General features: G+C 41.0%; 1 protein-coding gene across 2 annotated transcripts in view, besides 1 other annotated feature; it reads right to left on the bottom strand.

The window, feature by feature from the left end:
* Positions 1 to 19,947, bottom strand: part of TLN2 (talin 2) — a 454,082-nt gene that overhangs the window by 208,464 nt on the left and 225,671 nt on the right. The window contains exon 3 of one of the 2 annotated variants that reach the window (NM_015059.3): positions 17,693 to 17,817. The exons of the other annotated variant lie outside the window; for it this stretch is intronic. The gene's annotated coding sequence lies outside the window, so the exon portion shown is untranslated. The remainder of the gene's footprint in view (positions 1 to 17,692; positions 17,818 to 19,947) is intronic. 2 annotated transcript variants of the gene reach the window in all.
* Positions 11,025 to 11,164: an enhancer, noted in NCBI's record as "active region_9523". NCBI's record gives its function as "activates an Ori minimal core promoter by ATAC-STARR-seq in GM12878 lymphoblastoid cells {active_cell/tissue: GM12878}" and the evidence as "EXISTENCE:reporter gene assay evidence [ECO:0000049][PMID:35858748]".

Below are 19,947 nucleotides of genomic sequence, written 5' to 3'. Positions count from 1 at the left end.
TCCTTCTGAATGTAAGAATTAAAACTAATACATACATATATTTTTAAAAATTTTAAGTATATAGTAGCAGCTAACACATGTAAGTGATTACGCGCCTGGCACTGATGCTAAGCCCTTTTTATGTTAAGGCACTGAATCCTCAACATAACCCCATGCTAAGAGGTTTAGACTTCGCCCAAGCAGGACAACCAAAACAGAGTAGTCATGTGAACTCGACCAAGGCCACGGATCTGGGGGTTCTGCCTCCTAACGTGTGCTGTTTAAAATGGAAGGGAACATAGAGAAATCGATACAGTGCTTGTGTCAGGGATGCAGGAAAATGGGAAAATGGTTTTTTATTGATAATGTGGTTTTTATTAATAATTGAACTTTCACTTGTTGCATTATTATATGTCATACACTGAACTAAGCACTTTACCTAATGATTCTGGAAAATCATTAGGTAAGGGAGATCCTATTTACCCTAGATAAATTAGGCTTAATAGAGATTATGTCTTGTTAAGTAACAGGCAAACACAAGAGGAAAGGAAGGTTTAACCCAGGTCTGTCTGAATCTAGACTTCCATGTCTGATCCCACCCCACTCAAAGATAAATACCACTAACATTTGGACACATTTCCTTCCAATATGTATGCATATTTTATGTAGTTGAGATGATATGCTCTATATAATTCTATATCCTAAGTTTTCCCCATTCTAATTACATAATATTCCCCCACAGTATTGTAAACTCTTTACATTGTTTTTAATAAATACATAATATTGTAAATAAGGCCCCATAATTTAATTTAATAGCTGTATCTTTTTGGGTATATCAGCTATTTACAAGTTTTTCCTATCATAAATAAGGATGCAATAAGGATTTTTTTTTGAAACCTCTTCTGTTTTTTATTTCAGATTATTTTCTTAAGCTAAAATTTTTTCCTTTTGTTAAAGGAATCATCAGTATTTTTACAAAACAACCCAGAAGATAACAAAACAACAAGAAATAATGAAATCTGAATGTACAAGTATCAGCTGTTTGATTTATGCGTTAGTTAAATGAATATGCATTAACAACTGAGAAGGCCAATAATCAATCCAGGTTTTATAGTTCAATCCACCCCACAGAACCATCCTGCCATCCAGGGCTCAAGCTGCAAGGGACCAGACCAAGAGACAGAATTGACAAAGGAATGAATGGGAGAAAAACCATCTAGCATAGACAATAAACTAGATTTACAGAAAAGAGGCAGAGAAAAGATAAATGTTTAATACAAATTTTAAAATATATTGCAAACAGTCGAAATGACAGAGAGAAGAAGAAGGATTGGACTAGACTTTACTACAGAAAGCCATGTGGATGTGCATGGTGAGCAGCCACGTGCTGCTTTCTGCAAGCCCAGGTTTTTAGAACTGCCTACCAGATCGAACCCGAATTACAAAAAGAATATTAACTAAATTGAAGTATGCTGATGAAGTATCATTTTCCTTTAGTTAATAAAATAAAGCCAGATAAAAAGTCTTACCAATTTCATCAGTCAGTTATGAATAAGATTTGTATTTTCAAACAGCAAAAAAACAAATCAAATTGCAGCCTGGACACGTACATATTACTTCATCAAAAGCATAAGGAAGAAATAAACATGTCCCCATGAGAGATGACATGAAACGATGAATTCTCTACAGCACAGTTGAGGACAGTGTTTTAAAGGATTGTTTTAAGATACTGTCACGTTTGTTGTATCTCCACAACCTGGACTTATTCTTGAAAAACAATTCCAAAAATAAATATAAAACTTAAGATAAAGCTGGAAAAATAACAGAAGAACTGCACAGACCAGTCAAAGAGAGACAGGGATAAAAGGTAAGAATCCCTAAAGAAATGGCAGGACTAAAGAACTCCCTGAATTGGAAAGGGGCCTCATCAATGGGAATTTGTGCTACAATCTTGTGTCATCTGTCAGCACCAACCTACAAAATTGATATTCATCTTGTCCTCCAACAGTGCACCTAGCTTACTGCTATGGGCTGAATTGTGTTTCTTCCAAAATTCATATGTTAAGGTCCTAACCCCCAGGACCTCAGACTGCGACCTTATTTGAAGATGGCACCTTTACAGAGGCAATCAGGTTAAAATGAGGTCATTAGAGCAGGTCATAATCCGAATTGACCGTTGTCCTTATAAGAAGGAGAAATTTGGACACAGATACACAGGAAAGATGATGTAAAGAGGACAGGAGAAGATGGCAATCTAAAAGCCACAAGAGAGGCCTGAAACAGATCCTTCCCTCACAGCCTTCAGAGGGAACCAACCCTGCCAACACCATGACCTTGAACTTCCAGCCTCCAGAACTGTGAGACAATAAATTTTTGTTATTTAAGCCACCCAGTTAGTGGTATTTTGTTAGGGGACAGCCCCGGCAAATTAATCCATTTAGCCAGGCTAAATACAGGCCCAATTAGGATATTAATAAGTGCAGTAAGCCTAAATATAGTTCTTTTGACACAAAATAGCAAATAGTACAGTTAAATGTAAGTGGTAATCAGTAGAATAATTATAAACGTGTGTGAATATGTAAACAGAGGCATAGCTGGGCCTCACGCCTAAAATCCCATTGACTCAAAGGCTGGGGTGGGAGGATTGCTTGAGTCCAGGAGTTCGAGACCAGCCTGGGCAACATAGCAAGACTCTGTCTCTACACAAATTTTTTAAATATAAAAACTAGCTGGGCATGGTGGTGTGCACCTGCAGTCCTAGCTACTCAGGGGCCTAAGGTAGGAGGACGGTTTAAGCTCAGGAGTTCAAGGCTGTAGTGAGCTATGATCACATCACCGTACTGCAGCCTGAGTAACAGAGCAAGACACCATCTCCAAAACAAATAAACAAATATAAGCATAGATGCAGGTGCTGGTGTAGGCAAGGGCATAGGCATATGCATATGTATACATTATGCCCAAGGTCACAAAGCTAGCAAGTGACAGGAGCAGGACTCTAACCAGGGCATATCTGCCTCCAGGGCCCGTGCCTTGCTATAATACCACCGTGCTGCACCACCTAACAAAATTAACTACATGGCACTGTGAAAAATATCTGTGAGAATAGGATATGATTGATGCTACATAGAATTTAGGGTGCTTCCAGCCAAGTAGGGAAGAGACTATGTTAGCATTTTGTTAGAGTGGCAGAATTATACTTTGTTTGTTGTTTGTTTTATTTTGGCTTTTGTTATACTGGAATTAAAATAAATAAATTCAACAGCAACACAAGCCCACTTTCGGTTACTCTAATACAGATGAAACCAAATGGTGTTTTTCCTTGTCAGTTCGCTCCTCCATCATATAAAAAGGGATGGGAGGCAGATTTGTGGAGTCTCCCTCCACATTCTGCACAACCACCTCGAAATGCAGACATAAATATCTAGGACACAGTATTTTGTGGATATAGAGGATAAGGTTCAGATTCTGAGCCTAGGGGAAGGATACAGGTCAATCTACATCCATTTATCAATAACCTATAATGCACAAGATACTGTGCTGATTACTTCAGGGAATAAACAAGATGGAATAAGGCTGGTCTTGCATTTATGTGGCTTAAACTCTCACAGCAACTCTCACTGAGAGTTGGCGGGTGCCATGTAGTAGATCAGCTGCTGCCTGTGAGAGAGGAGTCCTGCCTTGCCCTCCAAGAGCTTCCACAGGGCTCGGGGAGGACAGTAGCAAGCAGTACAGGGTGACAAGTCTGGAATAAGAGCCTAGGTCACTCTGATCACTAAAGTCCTTCCAACATCTAAGTGATTCGAGGATGAAGTCACACCTCTAAGGGTTCAGGTCGTTAGGAGTCCTTGAGGTTCCTGAAGGGCTCCAAGATTATTCTGGGGCCTTCTCGACCTTTCCAGACAAGACCTAAGCAGGTGAGATTTAGTCAGAACAGAAATGGCCTCCAGCACAAGCAAGAGCTGCTCAACTTTAATGCCACGCCCCACAGGGGCACTAGTCCCCAGAATGAGACTATGTACTCCGTTAACTACTTATTATCATTGACTGCCTCTAAGCAGGCGCTGGGGCTGTCTAGAAAGCTGTGACAATAAGTTTGTATGAAAGATTCGGGGGGAGCACACATAACTTCTAACTAGTGCCCACAGAGACTTTGGAGCCACTCTCTTACCGGTGGTCCAATGGCTGTACCTACTGTGATCCTTGTGGGCTCGCACATCACCACAGCTCCTGATGAAACTGAGGTTGACAGATTTTATCATCATCTATAGAGAGGAGACTATTAAAAAATACCTCACTATAAAACTATCAAGGCCGGGCATGGTGGCTCATGCCCATAATCCCAGCACTTTGGGAAGCCAAGGCACGAGGATGGTTTGAGCCCAGGAATTCAACAGCTTGGGAAACATAGGGAGACCCCGTCTATACCAAAAAACAAAAAGAAAAGAGAGAAAGAAGAAAAAGCGGGAGGAGGGAGGGAGGGAGGGAGAGAAAGAAAGAAAGACAGAAAGAGAGGAGGAAAGAGAAAGAAAGAAAAAGAAGGAAAGAAAGAGAAAGAAAGGGAGGGAGGAGGGAAGGGAGAGGGAGAGAGAGAGAGTGAAAGAAGAGAGAGAAAGAAAGGAAAGGAAAGGAAAGGAAAGGAATGGAAAGGAAAGGAAAGGAAAGGAAAGGAAGAAAGAAAGAAAGAAAAGAGGAAGAAAGAAAGAAAGAAAAGAGGAAGAGAGAGAGAAAGAAAGAGAAAGGAAGGAAGAAAGGAAGAAAGGAAGAAAACTATCAAACCTGAAAAAATAATGGATGAGTGATTATTTGTGCTAGAGAAGAGAAGGCATCTTGACTTAGGAATCCACTGAGCAAGCTTCCTCTATTACGGTTTGCATGTGTCTTCTCCAAAATTCATGTTGAAACTTAATCCCCAATACAACAGTATTAAGAGGTGGGGCCTTTAGGAAGTGATTTGGCTCTGACAAGGCTGAAGTCAAGACAAGGAGAGGAGGCAGAAAGGAGAGAGAGAGACTGCAACCTGGGAGGTATGAGAAGCTGCGGAACTCATAGGAAGCTGCAAGCCAACAGAGTCTATTTTGCTTTTGGGGATCCTTTGGTTATATATCCATATTCCCCTGATTGTTACTATCCTGGGTGAGAAAAGGCTAGCTAAGCATTTCAATGCCTTAGAAAAAAAAATGGCTTATTCAAATGAAAAAATCTTTTAAGTTTTCTTTTCTATTTATCTTTCGAAAGACATCTAGAAATTTACTGGGGGGAAGATGTCTTTTCATTCCCCCTTCACACTCCTCCCCCTCTCTTTAGTGATGAATCTCTTGGTGAACTCGTCTGAATGTCAAAAAGAAAAAGACATCTTCTCAGAAAAATATAAATATTTATAGACAGCATTACTCCATCACCCCTGAAATGTTAAACAGAGCTGTTTCTCCATTCTCTTCTTTATTGATTTAGTTATGTGGTACATAATCAGAAAGCCAAAAAAAAAAGGTAACGGTGGAACTCAAATCACCAGGTCATGCATCAAATAAACGCAGACCAAAAAACATTCATTAAATCTTGTTGTGATATACCTCCAGAGAGCAGTAACAGAAATAAAAAAAATCAATGTCAAAACAAACCTGGCCTCGGACTGCTGGAGAATGGCTGCTCACAGACCTTCCTCTGTGATGAGATCCCGACGTCTGTGGCACTTCTCCTCCTCTGAGTTATGTGCTCTCTTAGGGCTAAGTCCCACCAGTATGACCGCAGGGCCAGTGGGAACAGAGTGGGATGTATTTAAAAGCAAAAATATCAGGGAGTCAAGTCCTCATTCAGCACCAAAAATGTCTGAGTGGCCCTCCTCAACTTTCTCACCGGGTTTTAGCCTAGACAACTTTTAAGGAAGGTAAGTACCTTAGAAGTCATCTAGTCTAAAACCCAAGTCTGTTTTCTGGATCTCTCTTCTGATACCTAAAATCTGGCTTTACCTAAATGACCTGTCCTCTTTCCAAGTGATAGTCAACCTACTAATAAGCAAAAATGATGATTAGTTGGTGCCATATTTCCAGTTTTTCCAATAGTTACAGAAAGGCTACCTGTGACAGTAGATGTGATTTTACAGTGTTACTAATGATCATTCTGGCAGCTCGTTATATACACGACACAACTGAAAATAACCCCACCAAAGAAACAAAAAAAGATAATTTCCTGACTTTAAAGACATAGAAGAGATTCTCTAGATTAAGAACAATGGGAAAAGGATGTTAAAATGATCTATGGTGCCCTCAATTACCTTTAAAATGCTCATGTATTTTCTAAGGGATTTTCACAAAGCTTCAATGTATTAGGACTCTCAATTTTAACTGCTGCCTGGGGCTTTACCCTACTTATTTTAAAATAATTTAATATTTGCCTTTTGTTGGGTCCCAAAAACAAAATGTACTCAAAAACATACACTTTGAAAGATGAGCAGAAAATATGTAAAATCAGTATATCAATTATTCTAAAGGGAACTAACATTTTACTGACACATGTTTTGAGTCACACTCTTGCAAACAAAATAAAACTGCTATCCTCCAAGGGCTCATGGCTTAGCCTTATACGGCCCTACCTTGGAATGTCAGGACAACTTTGGAAAATACCTCATTTGGGGGAAAAGCACACAAAACTAACAGACATCAACACAAAAGGGCAGGTCAAAAATAAAAAGCTTTAAAAACAAAATTCACAGTAGGTAACACCAAGACACCTCCCGAAGCTCAGCCTAGGGTTCTTCTCTTAGGAAAAGCATGAAGTTGGAATCGGTATAACCTGGGGAACTGTCACAGATGGCTGACATGGAAGCACTATCTCACAGAGAAATGATATCACCATGTACTGATCACACATTATGTGCCAGACACACAATGTTTATCTCATTTACTCCATCCAAGGTCACAAAAAGCTGGTGACACCAAGGAAGTGGCAGAGCCTAAATGAAGTCTACCACCAAAATTTCCTTTTTTATTTTTTATTTTTGAAACAGGGTCTCACTCTGTGGCCCAGGCTGGAGTGTGGTGGCGTGATCATGGCTCACTGCAGCCTCAAGTGGGCTCAAGCAATCCTCCCACCTCTGCCTCCCAAGTAACTGGGACTACAGGTATGTGCTACTATGCCAAGCTAATTTTTAAATTTTTTTTAGAGACAGGATCTCACTACATTGTCCAGGCTGGTCGCAAACTCCTGGGCTCAAGCAATCCTCCTGCCTCGTACCTCCCACCTTGGCCTCCCAGAGTGCTGGGATTACAGGTGAGAGACACTGTGCCCAGCACCACTATCAAATTTTCTGATAAATAAAATAGAAAACTGGGAATTATGCTGTCAAATAGGTTAAGTCTCCAGGATCATCTGGGAAAACTTTGCAGATATCAGGACAGGGAATTCCTAGAGTGGAAGAAGGTACAGGGCAGTATCATTTTGTGACCAAATCCCATAAGGTTGCCAGGACTGTCTGCTCCGGTTTTGCCAGCAATATGCAACCTTCTGCTCCAGTGCGTGATCTCATTAACTGGATTGTCTTTCCATGCTTTGTACACAGGAATGCTCACCCCTTCTTCTAATCCTAGATCTTAATTATGAGGGTCAAAAATGGAGACTGAAAATATAGATCTTTCTATGAAAAATGTCTTTATTTTAGCATGGGCTTAGAAAAAGCATATAATCTCTACTGTAATTCATACATGTTTACAATAATTCCACTTAATTCAACAAAACGTTATGGAAGTCCTACTATATATGATGTTCTAAGTATTTAGTATTATTACACTTTTGCTCCTGTGTAATTTGCATTGTGTAAATTGGGGTTTTGCCTATGCAAGTCACCCTGGGATGCCTACACCGTGAAATCTGAATCTGCTGCTTTAAAAGGGCAGGGAAGCCCCCATAGGTACATGAATAGTTTCAAAACTACAACCATTTTAGCCTTACCCCAGAATTACACAGTGAGTTACTAGTAAAGGAGAAAAATTATAGTCCACACCTTGTTACCAAGACTAAGTAACTGCAATATGAGATTTAAATTGAGCAATAACCATCAATTAGCATTACTGGTAATCTTAGACTTCTCAGTTAAAGAACCTATGTATGTCAACACAATTATGAAAGTCTGATTTCTATATTGGGACTCTAGAAAACGAGAATGTTTGCTTCCCATGTTGACAGTTCCTGTGTGATTTTGCCCTTTTTGTAATTTTCTCTATTGAAAATGAAATTCATAGCATAATTAGAATCTTCATGGATTAAATTCCAATGCTAAAACTGCACATGACACAGGCAAAGGAAACAGAACATGAGCCCCACCTGGAAAGAATTAAGAGAGTAAAACGAGCCCAAAATTGCCTAATAAAAATCACTAATTCTGGAAGTTTTAACAAGATGCTTTCTTAAAGAAAAAAAAGGAAAATTTAGGGAAATTAGAAAACGTAAAGAAAATTAACATACTTGATCCTAATGATGTAACGGCATAATAATCAATTTTTAAAACTCAAATAAATACAGGTAATTCTAGTATGGCTAAGAGAAAAAACCCTCAGCCTGCATGTAGTATTGCTCTTTCGACTTTTAAAATAATGTGTCTCACACACAGCAGTTCAATTTCTGTGTTAGCCTCTAGGAAGCACAAATCAACATTTCACAAGATAATTCTGTATATGATGAATCTCTGCTTATTTCAAGGATAATTACAACTGTTAAATGTTACCATTCTGAATATAAGGTAAAAAACACAAATAAAGATTATACTTACCTAATTCCCTCTTTGGCTAGCCCCCAAAATTCACCAACTCCCTCCATCAGGAGCAACAAAGACAGCAAGACAGAAAGGGAACACCTATCACTTCATCTCCTGATGAAAGCAACTGAGGTGCTTGGGTATAGTTCCACCCTACCAAAAGGCACAACAATATAGAAAATTTAATATCTACCTTCCTTCCTGCACATCCAAGAGGATGGATCATCCCCTTAAGAATTCTCTTTTGCCAAGAAACAAAATGGCCTAACTACTAGAACTGCATTAGCCTTCAGTGATGATGAAATTTTAAAAGGCATGTGTAATAAAGGCGTGGCCAGCACAAGCAAGCAAAAAGCAAGATGTTCCTTGATTCTTTTATCATGAGCACTTACCTTAGCCCTTCCTTGCAACCCCAGCAATATATCCACAATCCTATTTTAGCGGAGCAGAGTTTAAAATACTTATGTTAATGTAACTGGATATCTGCCAAGAGGAAACACCTTGGTATTCGTCCTTGCGCTACAACTAACCCTACACTCCTCAAGTTTCTTCCCTCTGTGTCCACCATCCAGCAAACACAATTTATGCCATCTTCAGTTTCATCCATATGTCAACCTCACACCAGTAGACACAGATATCTGATCTAACTAAAAGCTTACTTTTGTAGCCTCCCAAGTAGCAATAAATGGGCCCTTAATAAGAGCTGTGTGTCCTTGGACAAGGCATTTATCATCTCTGAGTCTCACGTTCCTCCTTTGTGAACTAAATGGTGAGGACCAGGTGATGTCAGAGTGGCCTTCTAGCAGCCCATGCCATCATGTCTAGGTGCACATCCTTGTCGCTGACTTGCCCAGATCAGGGAAAATGCAAACTTCAGTCTCAGGTTCTTATGTTCAATTGCTTCAAAGGATTGAGGATATAATTACAATTAGAGAAGAAAATAATGAAGGGCGGTAGTGAGCATGTTAATTCATTTTCCATATTCAAGTCAGTAGTGCTTTGGCCCACCTGAATCTTTGACTATAATATTCCAGGGAGCAAGAGATCACATACTGTCAGATGTCAGTGAACTATTTATGCGATTATTCCAGGCAAAATGAACCTGAAATACCTACTTTTGGTTTTTATTTTGTTTGTTCAACTGGATGAAAAGCAACAAACATAATTGTTTATATTTTCCTAAGCACAGAGAACACAACTCCAGAAAATACAAGATAGAATTGGTGACCTATAAAATCATTTGAAAGTCAACAATTTAAAAAGCCTCAAATGCAAGACCAGCTCCTGTTAAAATGTCTTCTATGTACCTATATTTGCTAATCTGTCATGTATATCGTTATGTGTGCCATAATCCCTAATGCTTGCAAGTCATTAAGATGAATGGCTGGAAGTCAAGGGTATAGGAAGACTCTCTCAAACTTGCCCTTTGACCCATGGAAGAAGGTGGCATCTGCCTAGTGTTTGAGGACAGATTTCATGGGGAACTCAGGCCCTACCCCACCTACAGCCTAGACATCCCCAGTCCCCCTCTATTGCACACTCACACAGGAGTGGGCCCTACAGTCCTTCCTTCAGCATCCATTCCCATCTGCCCACTCTGCCCACTCAGATCTCTGCCCTCTCCAGCGAAACGACATCACCAGAGCACAGTCTGAAAGCCAGGCTGGCAACACAGAAGCCCAGAATTGCCTGGATTTGAGAGAGTCTTATTCTCTAAAAAGACAGGTGGTTCCATTTAAAATTCCACTCTGCCCATCGGCATCAACCCATGCTTCACCCTCAGCCCCCAACACATATGCTGCGGGAGTTCCCGTCCTCCCCCAGCCCTCGCCTGCGTGCAGTAGCCTAACTGTTCCCAGCTGCTGCTGGCTTCCTCTTGGCTCTGGAGCAGCATCGTGTTCTAACAGCATGGATGCAGAAACCTCCAAGACCATCTCGTAGCAGAGGGCATTTCCCCATATTTCTTGCTGTAACCACAGCCTATGCCTTCTTACCTTTAATTCAATTACAAGGATGAATTAATTTGGTCTCTGATACTAAAAAAATCCTCAGCTTACACTGCAGCCAGCAGAGCCCAACCATACCCTAGTGGAGGGGACTCCACAACAGGCCACAGCATTGAAAGGTTCCAGGGGTGATCAAGATGACTCCATCTTGGCCAAGCTTTCCTAAAGGGTTCATTCAGCCTTGAGTAACCAGAAAAGTAGGTCATGGGCCTGAGTCATAGTCTGAAGCCCCATGTGCACATTCAGTAGTGAAGAACCAAGCCCCACAGTTCTGTGTGGTTTGCAAGATGCAAGCAACATTTGCAGATGGGTCCTCACGCTACTTCCCCCACCAATACGCTCACATCAGCCTTGACTTCCAGCACAATAACACACACCCCTGAATCCTCCAGTCATCCTGAAAGCACAACAATATTCCCTTCAGGCAGCCAAAAAATAAAAATTAAAAAAGAGAAAGTGAAAGCAATCTAAGACATTATTGGTACAAGTAGCTTTTAGGTCACCATGCTCCAGCGAACCAAGGCAATAGCCTCTGATTAAGACAGGCTTAATCGTTCTTAGCTGCATTGTTTTTTTCTTATTTGGTCAGTAGCTGTCACATTGACGTGGTGTTACCAGTCTTTAACCCTACTTTTTAAAGCAAGACTCTCTTTGCCCTTACTGCCATCATGTGCTTATGTACGTAATTGTGTGCGTACACACATGCAGACACCCCCACACCCCTTTGACATCACAGAATGGACTACTGAGGAATTAACTCAGCACTCCAGTGCTTTTAAGAGAAATGTGTTAAGACAACCTGACAAGCAGAGGAAAACCATCAAAGCTTATCTATTTCTTCCTTCTCTGCTCTTCTGTGATATTTTCTTTCCTATCTGCACCTAAAAGAGAAAATCTTATGCCTTTCAATGTCAACAATGAATGATGAAGCTTCTGAAACAAAGCTGTAAAACAGCACATTCATGCGTCCTATCACCTATGAGACCTTCCCACTTCAAGGCTTCCCAGGGACAGAACACTCCGTCCTTCTGTAGGGACCTAGGATGGGATTCAGTCGGAAGGGCAGTGGAGGTTTACTCTATCAGCTGAGAAGCAGGGAACTTCTGGCAGTAATACATAACTTTTAAATCCATCAGAAAAATAATATTGCAAGCCAGCTAAGACTAATTTTCTAAAACTTGGTACAAATATGAAAAAATGTGACCACATGCAAAGAGCCTGCAAAGGTGCAAGCCAAACAGCATGGATCTTCCTGGATCTAATGAAGGTTAGAGTTAATTTGGCCATTTAAAAACAACACTAATATATTATTTCTGAGTGGAATACAAAACTCACGTGTAGCTCTATTATCAAACCACTTGGAGCAGGTCCATCCTCAGGCCCATGTGAGGTATTGGATCCCCTGTGCTCCTCTGTAGTTAAGGATACAGTGAAAATCCTGAATCCTAGCCATCATGTGATTGACAGCAAAGGAAAAAGTACAGTAATACCTAAAGCAAAAAACCAACTAAAGGCAGATGTGACATCAGCAGTGAGTTTGATGGGTCAATCCTCAGTGGAATGACAAATCAACTAATCTTCCAAAACCAAGAGTCCATATGCCTTTCTCTCATATTTTGCTATCTCACCGGACTTATTCTCATCTCCAAATGAAATACATAAACCTAAAAGAAACAGTAAAACCAAAGGGAAATAGGTTCTGGATCAAGTGGAAAACTGCCTGATAATGGTCAACTTGCCAAGAAACAAAGGATTAGAAGGAAATGTATGTTTTGAGTTTTGGGCAAAATAAATGTTAACAGTAATTCCAGGAATACTGTCAACACCAAATGGCGATCTCAGTTGGTGTTGACATAGATTAGCTACAATTTAAACTTTAATTTAGGTACGATGCATTCTCATTCCATAAAGGTCTAGGATTTCATATAAGAACCACAGAGTGAACTTAGAATCATTATCTCAGCAATACTGCAAAAGTATGCTCATGAATGTAAGTTGGTTTTGGTAGATGGAACCATCACTAGATCACTGGATCAGCTATGTAAAAGATACTACCTTTCTCTTTGACTTATGACCTGTGAGATTTTCAGCGAAAATAGAACAAATGATTTCCTGCATTTGTCAAACCAATAGTTCCCTTCATGCTTAGCCGTAGACAATCATCTGAAGAATAATTCTAAAGTGCTACACTTTCTATAAACACACACTTGGTTTAGGATGTGCAGTCCCAAAGAGCTTTTGTTTATACGGATACAGTAATGTTTCATTCTTTTCCACTCCCGCACAGATTAACCAGCACAGGACTTAGTTAAAATCTCCACTGCCCATTCAGTTACTCCATATGGATATTAAGCAAAGTAAATCCACTTAGTGACTACACCATGAGGACTGGAGGCCACGTTGATCACCCTGATTAGCCCTGTCAGCTGGAGTAAGAAAGACAGGCTGGCACTCAGGGCCAGCTGTGCAGGGCACACAGACAGATGATGGGCAACATCGATGGGCTCTGAGCAATTGGTCTGGGCAGTGATGGATGTTATGTCGACAGCTTAGAGTGTTATTACAGATACAGAACTGGCCCAAGAGAAACCCAAACTCCATCTTATTTTATTAAGATAAAGTTGGAGTGTCCATGACACAGTGCAGGACCAAGGAAGCTTTTCCCTCTTTTATCACTGACTCAAGCACAAAACAAAACAAAATCAATGTATATATTAAATAATAAGAATAAGGCAATTTAACTCAGTGAATGTATGTGTAAGACAGATTACAAAATGCCACATCTGCATTTTTAAAATTATGAACAGGATACATAAAATTTTTCAGTAAATACATGTAAAAAAATTATTTAATCCATATTATTAATTACAGTAAGTTGTATCAGGGCAGAGAGGAGAGTCATGGCTGTCTCTGTGTCCCCTTCATGATTATCAAGGGGCAAGTGCTTAATACATAACAGGACAGATCACACATCAGTTTCCACCCTACAGAATGGACTGAATGGATATTGGGTGCTGGGTATTCCCCCACTTGTCTGGAACAGGAGTCCCTCCAAATTTGCAATTACATGGCTGAAAGCAGAAACCATCCCCCACAAAATCCCCAACTTTTACAGATACACACACACACTCACACCCTTTTCCACTTCTTTCCTTTTGTACCTCAGAAGGTTCTACTAATTATCTCATTGTATCACCTGGAGTGAGTCGTTTTAATTTTCTGATCCTCAGTCTCCAAATTAAGACTAATAATAATTTGCACATTAATAATACCAAGGCCTACAAAGCATAGGATTACTCTGAAGAGTAAATCAAACTGGTAATGTTTCCCTTTGCAAACACACCCCCCACCCCCCAGCTTAGTCCTTTAGGCCAAGAAAAGCCTGGCTCATACATGGCACTGCCGGGGAAGGATGGGAAAGCATGTTTTTTTCTACTGGATACCAGCAAGATTTTCCTAAATGTGCACAACTGACATCTACACTAGCAGAGTGATTCTCCATTCCAAACTGGTTTTATGTCCTGAGGTCCTGAGGCCATCTGTGTTGGGAGGACCCTTTGGTAGAATTAGCTAGCAATTCTGTGAGGAAAAATCTCCCACATTTTGCCATTCCTTTTTAGTACCTGCTAATGCAAGAGCTACTAGTAACTACTCTGAAGTAATGATGTTCCATTTATATTGGGCCAATCCCGCCATAAGGGAGCTCTTCGCAGCAAATAAGAGGGACCCTGTTCCAAGAAATCTAGGCAAATAACATCACATTGAAGTGCAAGACTGCAGGAGCTCAGTAACATTTCTCAAACATATAAGTACCTCTGCCACCCCTTCATATGAAAATATCACTGCTGCACGATTGAGTTTCACAGCATGAGGACCTGAACTTCTCTGGATTTAAACTTCTAGTACACATTTGAGAATACAGGGCTGGGGGCACAAAGTTGGAGGGCCTGAATCAATGCCACCAAGATACTGTATATTTATCTCTATTGACCAAGAGAATCATTTCTCATTTGAAAGATGCTCTTTTTCTTGCTCTCAGTATCTGTGTATCGACTTTACCTTCTATTCACCCTAATAGTGTGAACTAGCATATTGTGCCCCAAATGCTATGTTTCCCAGTAAACTTTCCAAAGGACACAGCCATACAATATCACCCTGCATCCTTTGCAGGGTTTTCAACTTTGTTGATGCTCTAACCTGAATCCTTGAGTGCTGACAAAGGTAAACAAATAAATATAATACTTCAGAGACACAGTTCATTCCTTAAGTCCCAAGGTGCTATATAAGAAGCAGGTTTTGGCCGGGCACAGTGGCTCACACCTGTAATCCCAGCACTTTGGGAGGCCGAGGTGGGCGGATCACAAGGTCAGGAGATCGAGACCATCCTGGCTAACATGGTGAAACCCCGTCTCTACTAAAAATATAAAAAAATTAGCCGGGCGTGGTGGCGGGCGCCTGCAGTCCCAGCTACTCTGGAGGCTGAGGCAGGAGAACAGTGTGAACCCGGGAGGTGGAGCTTGCAGTGAGCTGAGATTGTGCCACTGCACTCCAGCCTGGGCGACAGAGACTCCGTCTCAGAAAAAAAAAAAAAAAAAAAAAGAAAAAGAAAGAAAAAAAAAAGAAGCAGGTTTCAGGAATCTGAAAATTCACTTTGGGGCTGGGTGTGGTGGCTCACATCTATAATTCCAGCACTTTGGGAGGCCAAGGTGGGAGGATCGCTTGAGCCCACGAGTTTGAGACCAACCTGGGCAACATAGCAAAATCTCATCCCTACAAAAAAATTTTACAAAATTAGCCAGGCATGGTGGCACACTCCTGTAGTGCCCGCTATTAGGGAGGCTGAGGTAGGAGGATTGCTTGAGCCCAGGAGGTTGAGGCTACAGCGAGCTGTGTTCATGCCACTGCGCTCCAGCTTAGGCAACAGAAAAAAAAAAGAAAGAAAGAAAAGGGTGTGGGGCGGGGAGGGAGGGAGAGAGAGAGAAAGAGAGTATGAATGAATTCACTTGGACAACAACAAAAGCAGTAGGCAGGCCATTTCCAAAGGTTCAGATTAAGTTTTTCACGGAAAACTTCTTCCAGTGGTATAGGATGCTGGTAAATTTGCTTATATATTGGCCAAATTAAAATGAAAGGTGCACCAGACACAGGAACATTTTGCACACGGAAATTTTTACTGCACTGATTATAAACATTGCAGTTTAAAACCTCGATAAAGATTAACTGAGGCCAGGGGTTTGAGATTAGCCTCGGCAATATAGTAAGACCCTGTCTCTACAAAAAATAAAAATAAAAAAAATAGCCGGTGTGGTGGAACCCAGCTGTAGTCCCAGCTACTCAAGAAGCTGAGGTGGGAGGATTGCTTGAGCCTAAGAGTTTGAGTCTGAAGTGAGCCATAAGCAGGCCACTGCATTCTAGCCTGGGCAACAGAGCAAGACCTCCATCTCTAAAAATAAAAATAAAACCTAGATAAACTGAGGATACCTAAAGCTGAAGGTCAATGGGAGATAGACCTTCAATCTCTGCCATTTTGGGCTGGTTGTTACATTAGTACCCCAGAGCTAAAAAAAATGACCACAAACTTGGTGTCCTAAAACAATAGGAATTTGTTCTCTCGTAGCTACAGATGCCAGAAGGCTGAAATCCAGGTTTCAGTGGGAACACGCTACCCTCCAAGGCTCTAGAAGAATACTTCCTTTCTCCTTTCAGCTTCTGGGGGGCTCCATCTTCACATGCCATTCTCCTCTATGTGTTTGTGTGGCCTCTCCTCTTCCTACAAGGACGCCAGTCATCAGATTCAGGGCCCACCCTAATCCAGTATGATCTTATCTCCATTCTTAACTAGTTACATCTGCAAAAACTATTTCCAAATAAGGTCACATTCTGAGGTTTTAGATAGACACAATTTTGGCAGGGGGGCAGGTGGGTCACACTATTCAACCCACTACAGTTGTTAATGAAAAATCGAGTGCAACTCTTATGACAAGAATTCTCTTGATTTAAAAATACTTTCTGTAGAATTATCAAGATGCAGAATGCCATCTATATAGCTCTCACAAACTGGAGGATGGAGCATGTGGGCCAGCTCCTCTAAGGAGAGAAACTGGAGGTGCGCTATGAGAATGGGCACGCCCACTCCAGCAGCTTCTCCAGCGCCTCACTCTTCTCTAACAGAGCAGAGCTGTGTCATCAGAGCCAAACATGGAAAGTAAATGGCATTTTTCAGAAAAAACATGCATACTGCCTCCCTCCTTTCACCTCCAATCCAAGAAAGATTTCTAGCCAACATATACTGTTTTGAGAAAAAACAAACAAACCTAGATTCATTGCTATGCTCAGTTAAAAAAAAAAAATCAAACATCTCAGCATCCAAGAAACATAAATTAATCCAAACTAAGAACAGAAAACAGGGCATAGTATAGGCCACAGACAGAAATGCTGATTTGCTTTCCAGCTTATTCTGCAAAAATGAAAGGCACAAGTATTCAGTCCCGTAAACTAGTTTATATGGTGTGAGTTTAGTTTATAACATTAACAGCAACTCAAGAAGGAAAGCCATTTTAACAATGCACATTTTCTAACTGAACCTTTGTTCTGTACACTTAAAGCCAGAAAAGGTTTTCAACATCTCCAGTACAATATTTCACTCTAAAAACCTACACATCAGGAGAAACAAACTGGAGAGCTTCAGAAAACCCTTACACATCTGCAAATTCTCTAGGCTTGAGGAATCAACCACCTTCATAGTAACAAAAAGCATTTTTAAGAAGGAAATCATCAAAGGTCTGACTCACTCAGCTCTGCTGACTCTGTCATTCCTTCCTCCAGGGGATGGACAGAGACGCAGGCCCTCATCAGTGTATTAGTGTACCTAGCTGGTACCCAGAGCTTTAGTGGAAATCTGTGTGTCATGATCACCTCCCCAAAACACACGCAGAAGACCTTTAACATACAAACAACTCACAATGACAACATCCAAGTCCTCTGACCAGGAGCTCCCACTGAGTCCTCTGTTAATACCCAGGGGTCCGAAGTTTCAGGAATCAACTCAGGGTAACAAGTGCAGGTGTCCTCCGCCAGGCAGACTTTCTGTCGTGGAAGAGTGTGGAGTGGGAAAAGAAGAATTAGGTAAAAATAACATTACAAATCTTGTACCAGAAAACAGTCACTGAAGTTGAACAGAATACCTAAACAAAAATGGATGAAAGAATAGGAGAAAATGTTCAAACTAAATTCCAAATTACATGTAACACTAAAAATATTTCCTAGGGTCTTGGGCCACTATGATCCACCTGGCTGTTATTGAAGAAACCAAACACATATCTCAAGAATTGCCTGAGGCACTGGGCATGGTGGCTCTTGCCTGTAATCTCAACACGTTGAGAGGCCAAGGCGGGAGGATCATTTGAGCCCAGAAGTTCGAGACCAACCCAGGCAACATAGTGAGATTCTGTCTCTACAAAAAAAAAAAAAAAAAGAATTGCCTGAATGATGAATCACTTGGATAACTCAGCTTCCTTCAAGAGTCTTCTTTCTTTTCAGAAAGGACTTTTTAACTGGAAGACTACAGTTCTGCTTCCGGTTTCATAATTTAAATACAACAGAGTATGTTTCTCCTAAATATCAGAAGGTGAAAATTCCTCCTTTTACATCTTCAGCACTAACATCCTTCTCCTCTATGCATTTGATTTAGAAGTTCAAGACAAGCAAAAAGAACAGAAACTCCAAAAGAGAGCCATTCAGTGTAGCAGACACTTCAAACAGACAGATGCTGTCACGGCACCTGATTTAGCAGTCAGAGGTGCAGGGTGAAAGCGGGGATGAGGCCTTGTGAGATGGCATCTCTGATCAGGGTGGTGACCACCAACACAGGGAGCTCAGAGAGGCTGGAGAAAGGGGGTGACAGTGGCCAGTGTACCCCCCGCTTCTGTTACAGTCGTGTTTCTTGTCTGCTAATAGCTCCCTATAAATGTGCAAACAAGGATAGGTGAGTGCCTTGCCATGACAGATTAGGAATGTAAAACATCAGTATCACTGGGCCAGACTGAGATGCCAAAACCAGAAAGTGATCACCAAGGAATCCAAGGAATGGTTCCAGGAGCAGCCCATGCCAAAGTCACTGTGGTCATCTTCAGGCAGACCCTCTAGTCTCACCCATAACACAGAGGTGACAAAACAGACATGGCCTAGCTAACTTCTGCCTTCTGCTTGGACATGTGTCAGCTGCTGTACAATTTCTGCAAATGCATAAAGATGACAGGCAAAAAAGAAAGCAACTGACCCCACTCCTGAGAATGCCTAGCACTGTGATTTTTAACGGACAGTCCAAACAATCCGAGCTCCATGAAACCCTGCATTCAACTCCAAACCCCAACAGGGATGTTTTACAGACATGTGCATTGCATGGCAGTCTCTCCTTTTCTATTAGAGCTATTAGAAAATCCTGCAAGAAGACACGCATGCAGACACCACCTTCCACTCTGTCATAGCCAGGCCAGATGGGAAGGATCACACCAGTCACAGGCAGGAACATGTAATCTCTGCACTGCTCATTTAAGAAAGTAATTATTATTTATCAAGTGCTTTCTAATAAGAGACTAACAAGGCAATTCAAACTAGGTTTTTAAAAAGCAGTAGCAAAAACACTTTTTTAAAGTAAAGGTTGAATATAATGATGTTAAGAAGCAAAGAGACAAATGTCCAGATGAGACAGCAAAGGCTCTCTGACTCCACATGAGGTTCCCAGTGAAATTACCCACTGAATACAAAAGCTGGGGAGAAACTCACACCATGACTAGGAGCCTAGGCTACATTCCATCTAGAGATATTTATTTCAGAAGAAAATAGGCTAGGTGCAGTGGTACATGCCTGTGATCTCAGCACATTGGGAGGCTGAGGCAGAAGGATCACTTGAGGCGAGGAGGTTGAGGCTGCAGCGATTCATGATCACACCACCACATTCCTGACTGGGTGACAGGGCAAGACCCTGTCTCTCAAAACATGAAAAAAGAAGAAGAAAATGTATGGAAAATAGTAAAGAAAATGTTGAAAAGATGGAAACTTGTTTGCCAGACAGTAATACCAACTTATAAAGCCAAAAATGATTACATCCTCGGGCTCTACAGGACAAATAAAACAGACATGACATAAGAGCATATACAGTGTTCATATGGGCATTCGTATAACCCAACTATCGTATCATAGTCACACTGGGAAAGG

This window comes from Homo sapiens, chromosome 15 (assembly GCF_000001405.40).
Source record: "Homo sapiens chromosome 15, GRCh38.p14 Primary Assembly".
NCBI lineage: Eukaryota > Metazoa > Chordata > Mammalia > Primates > Hominidae > Homo > Homo sapiens.
This window is presented reverse-complemented; position numbering and strand designations above follow the sequence as displayed.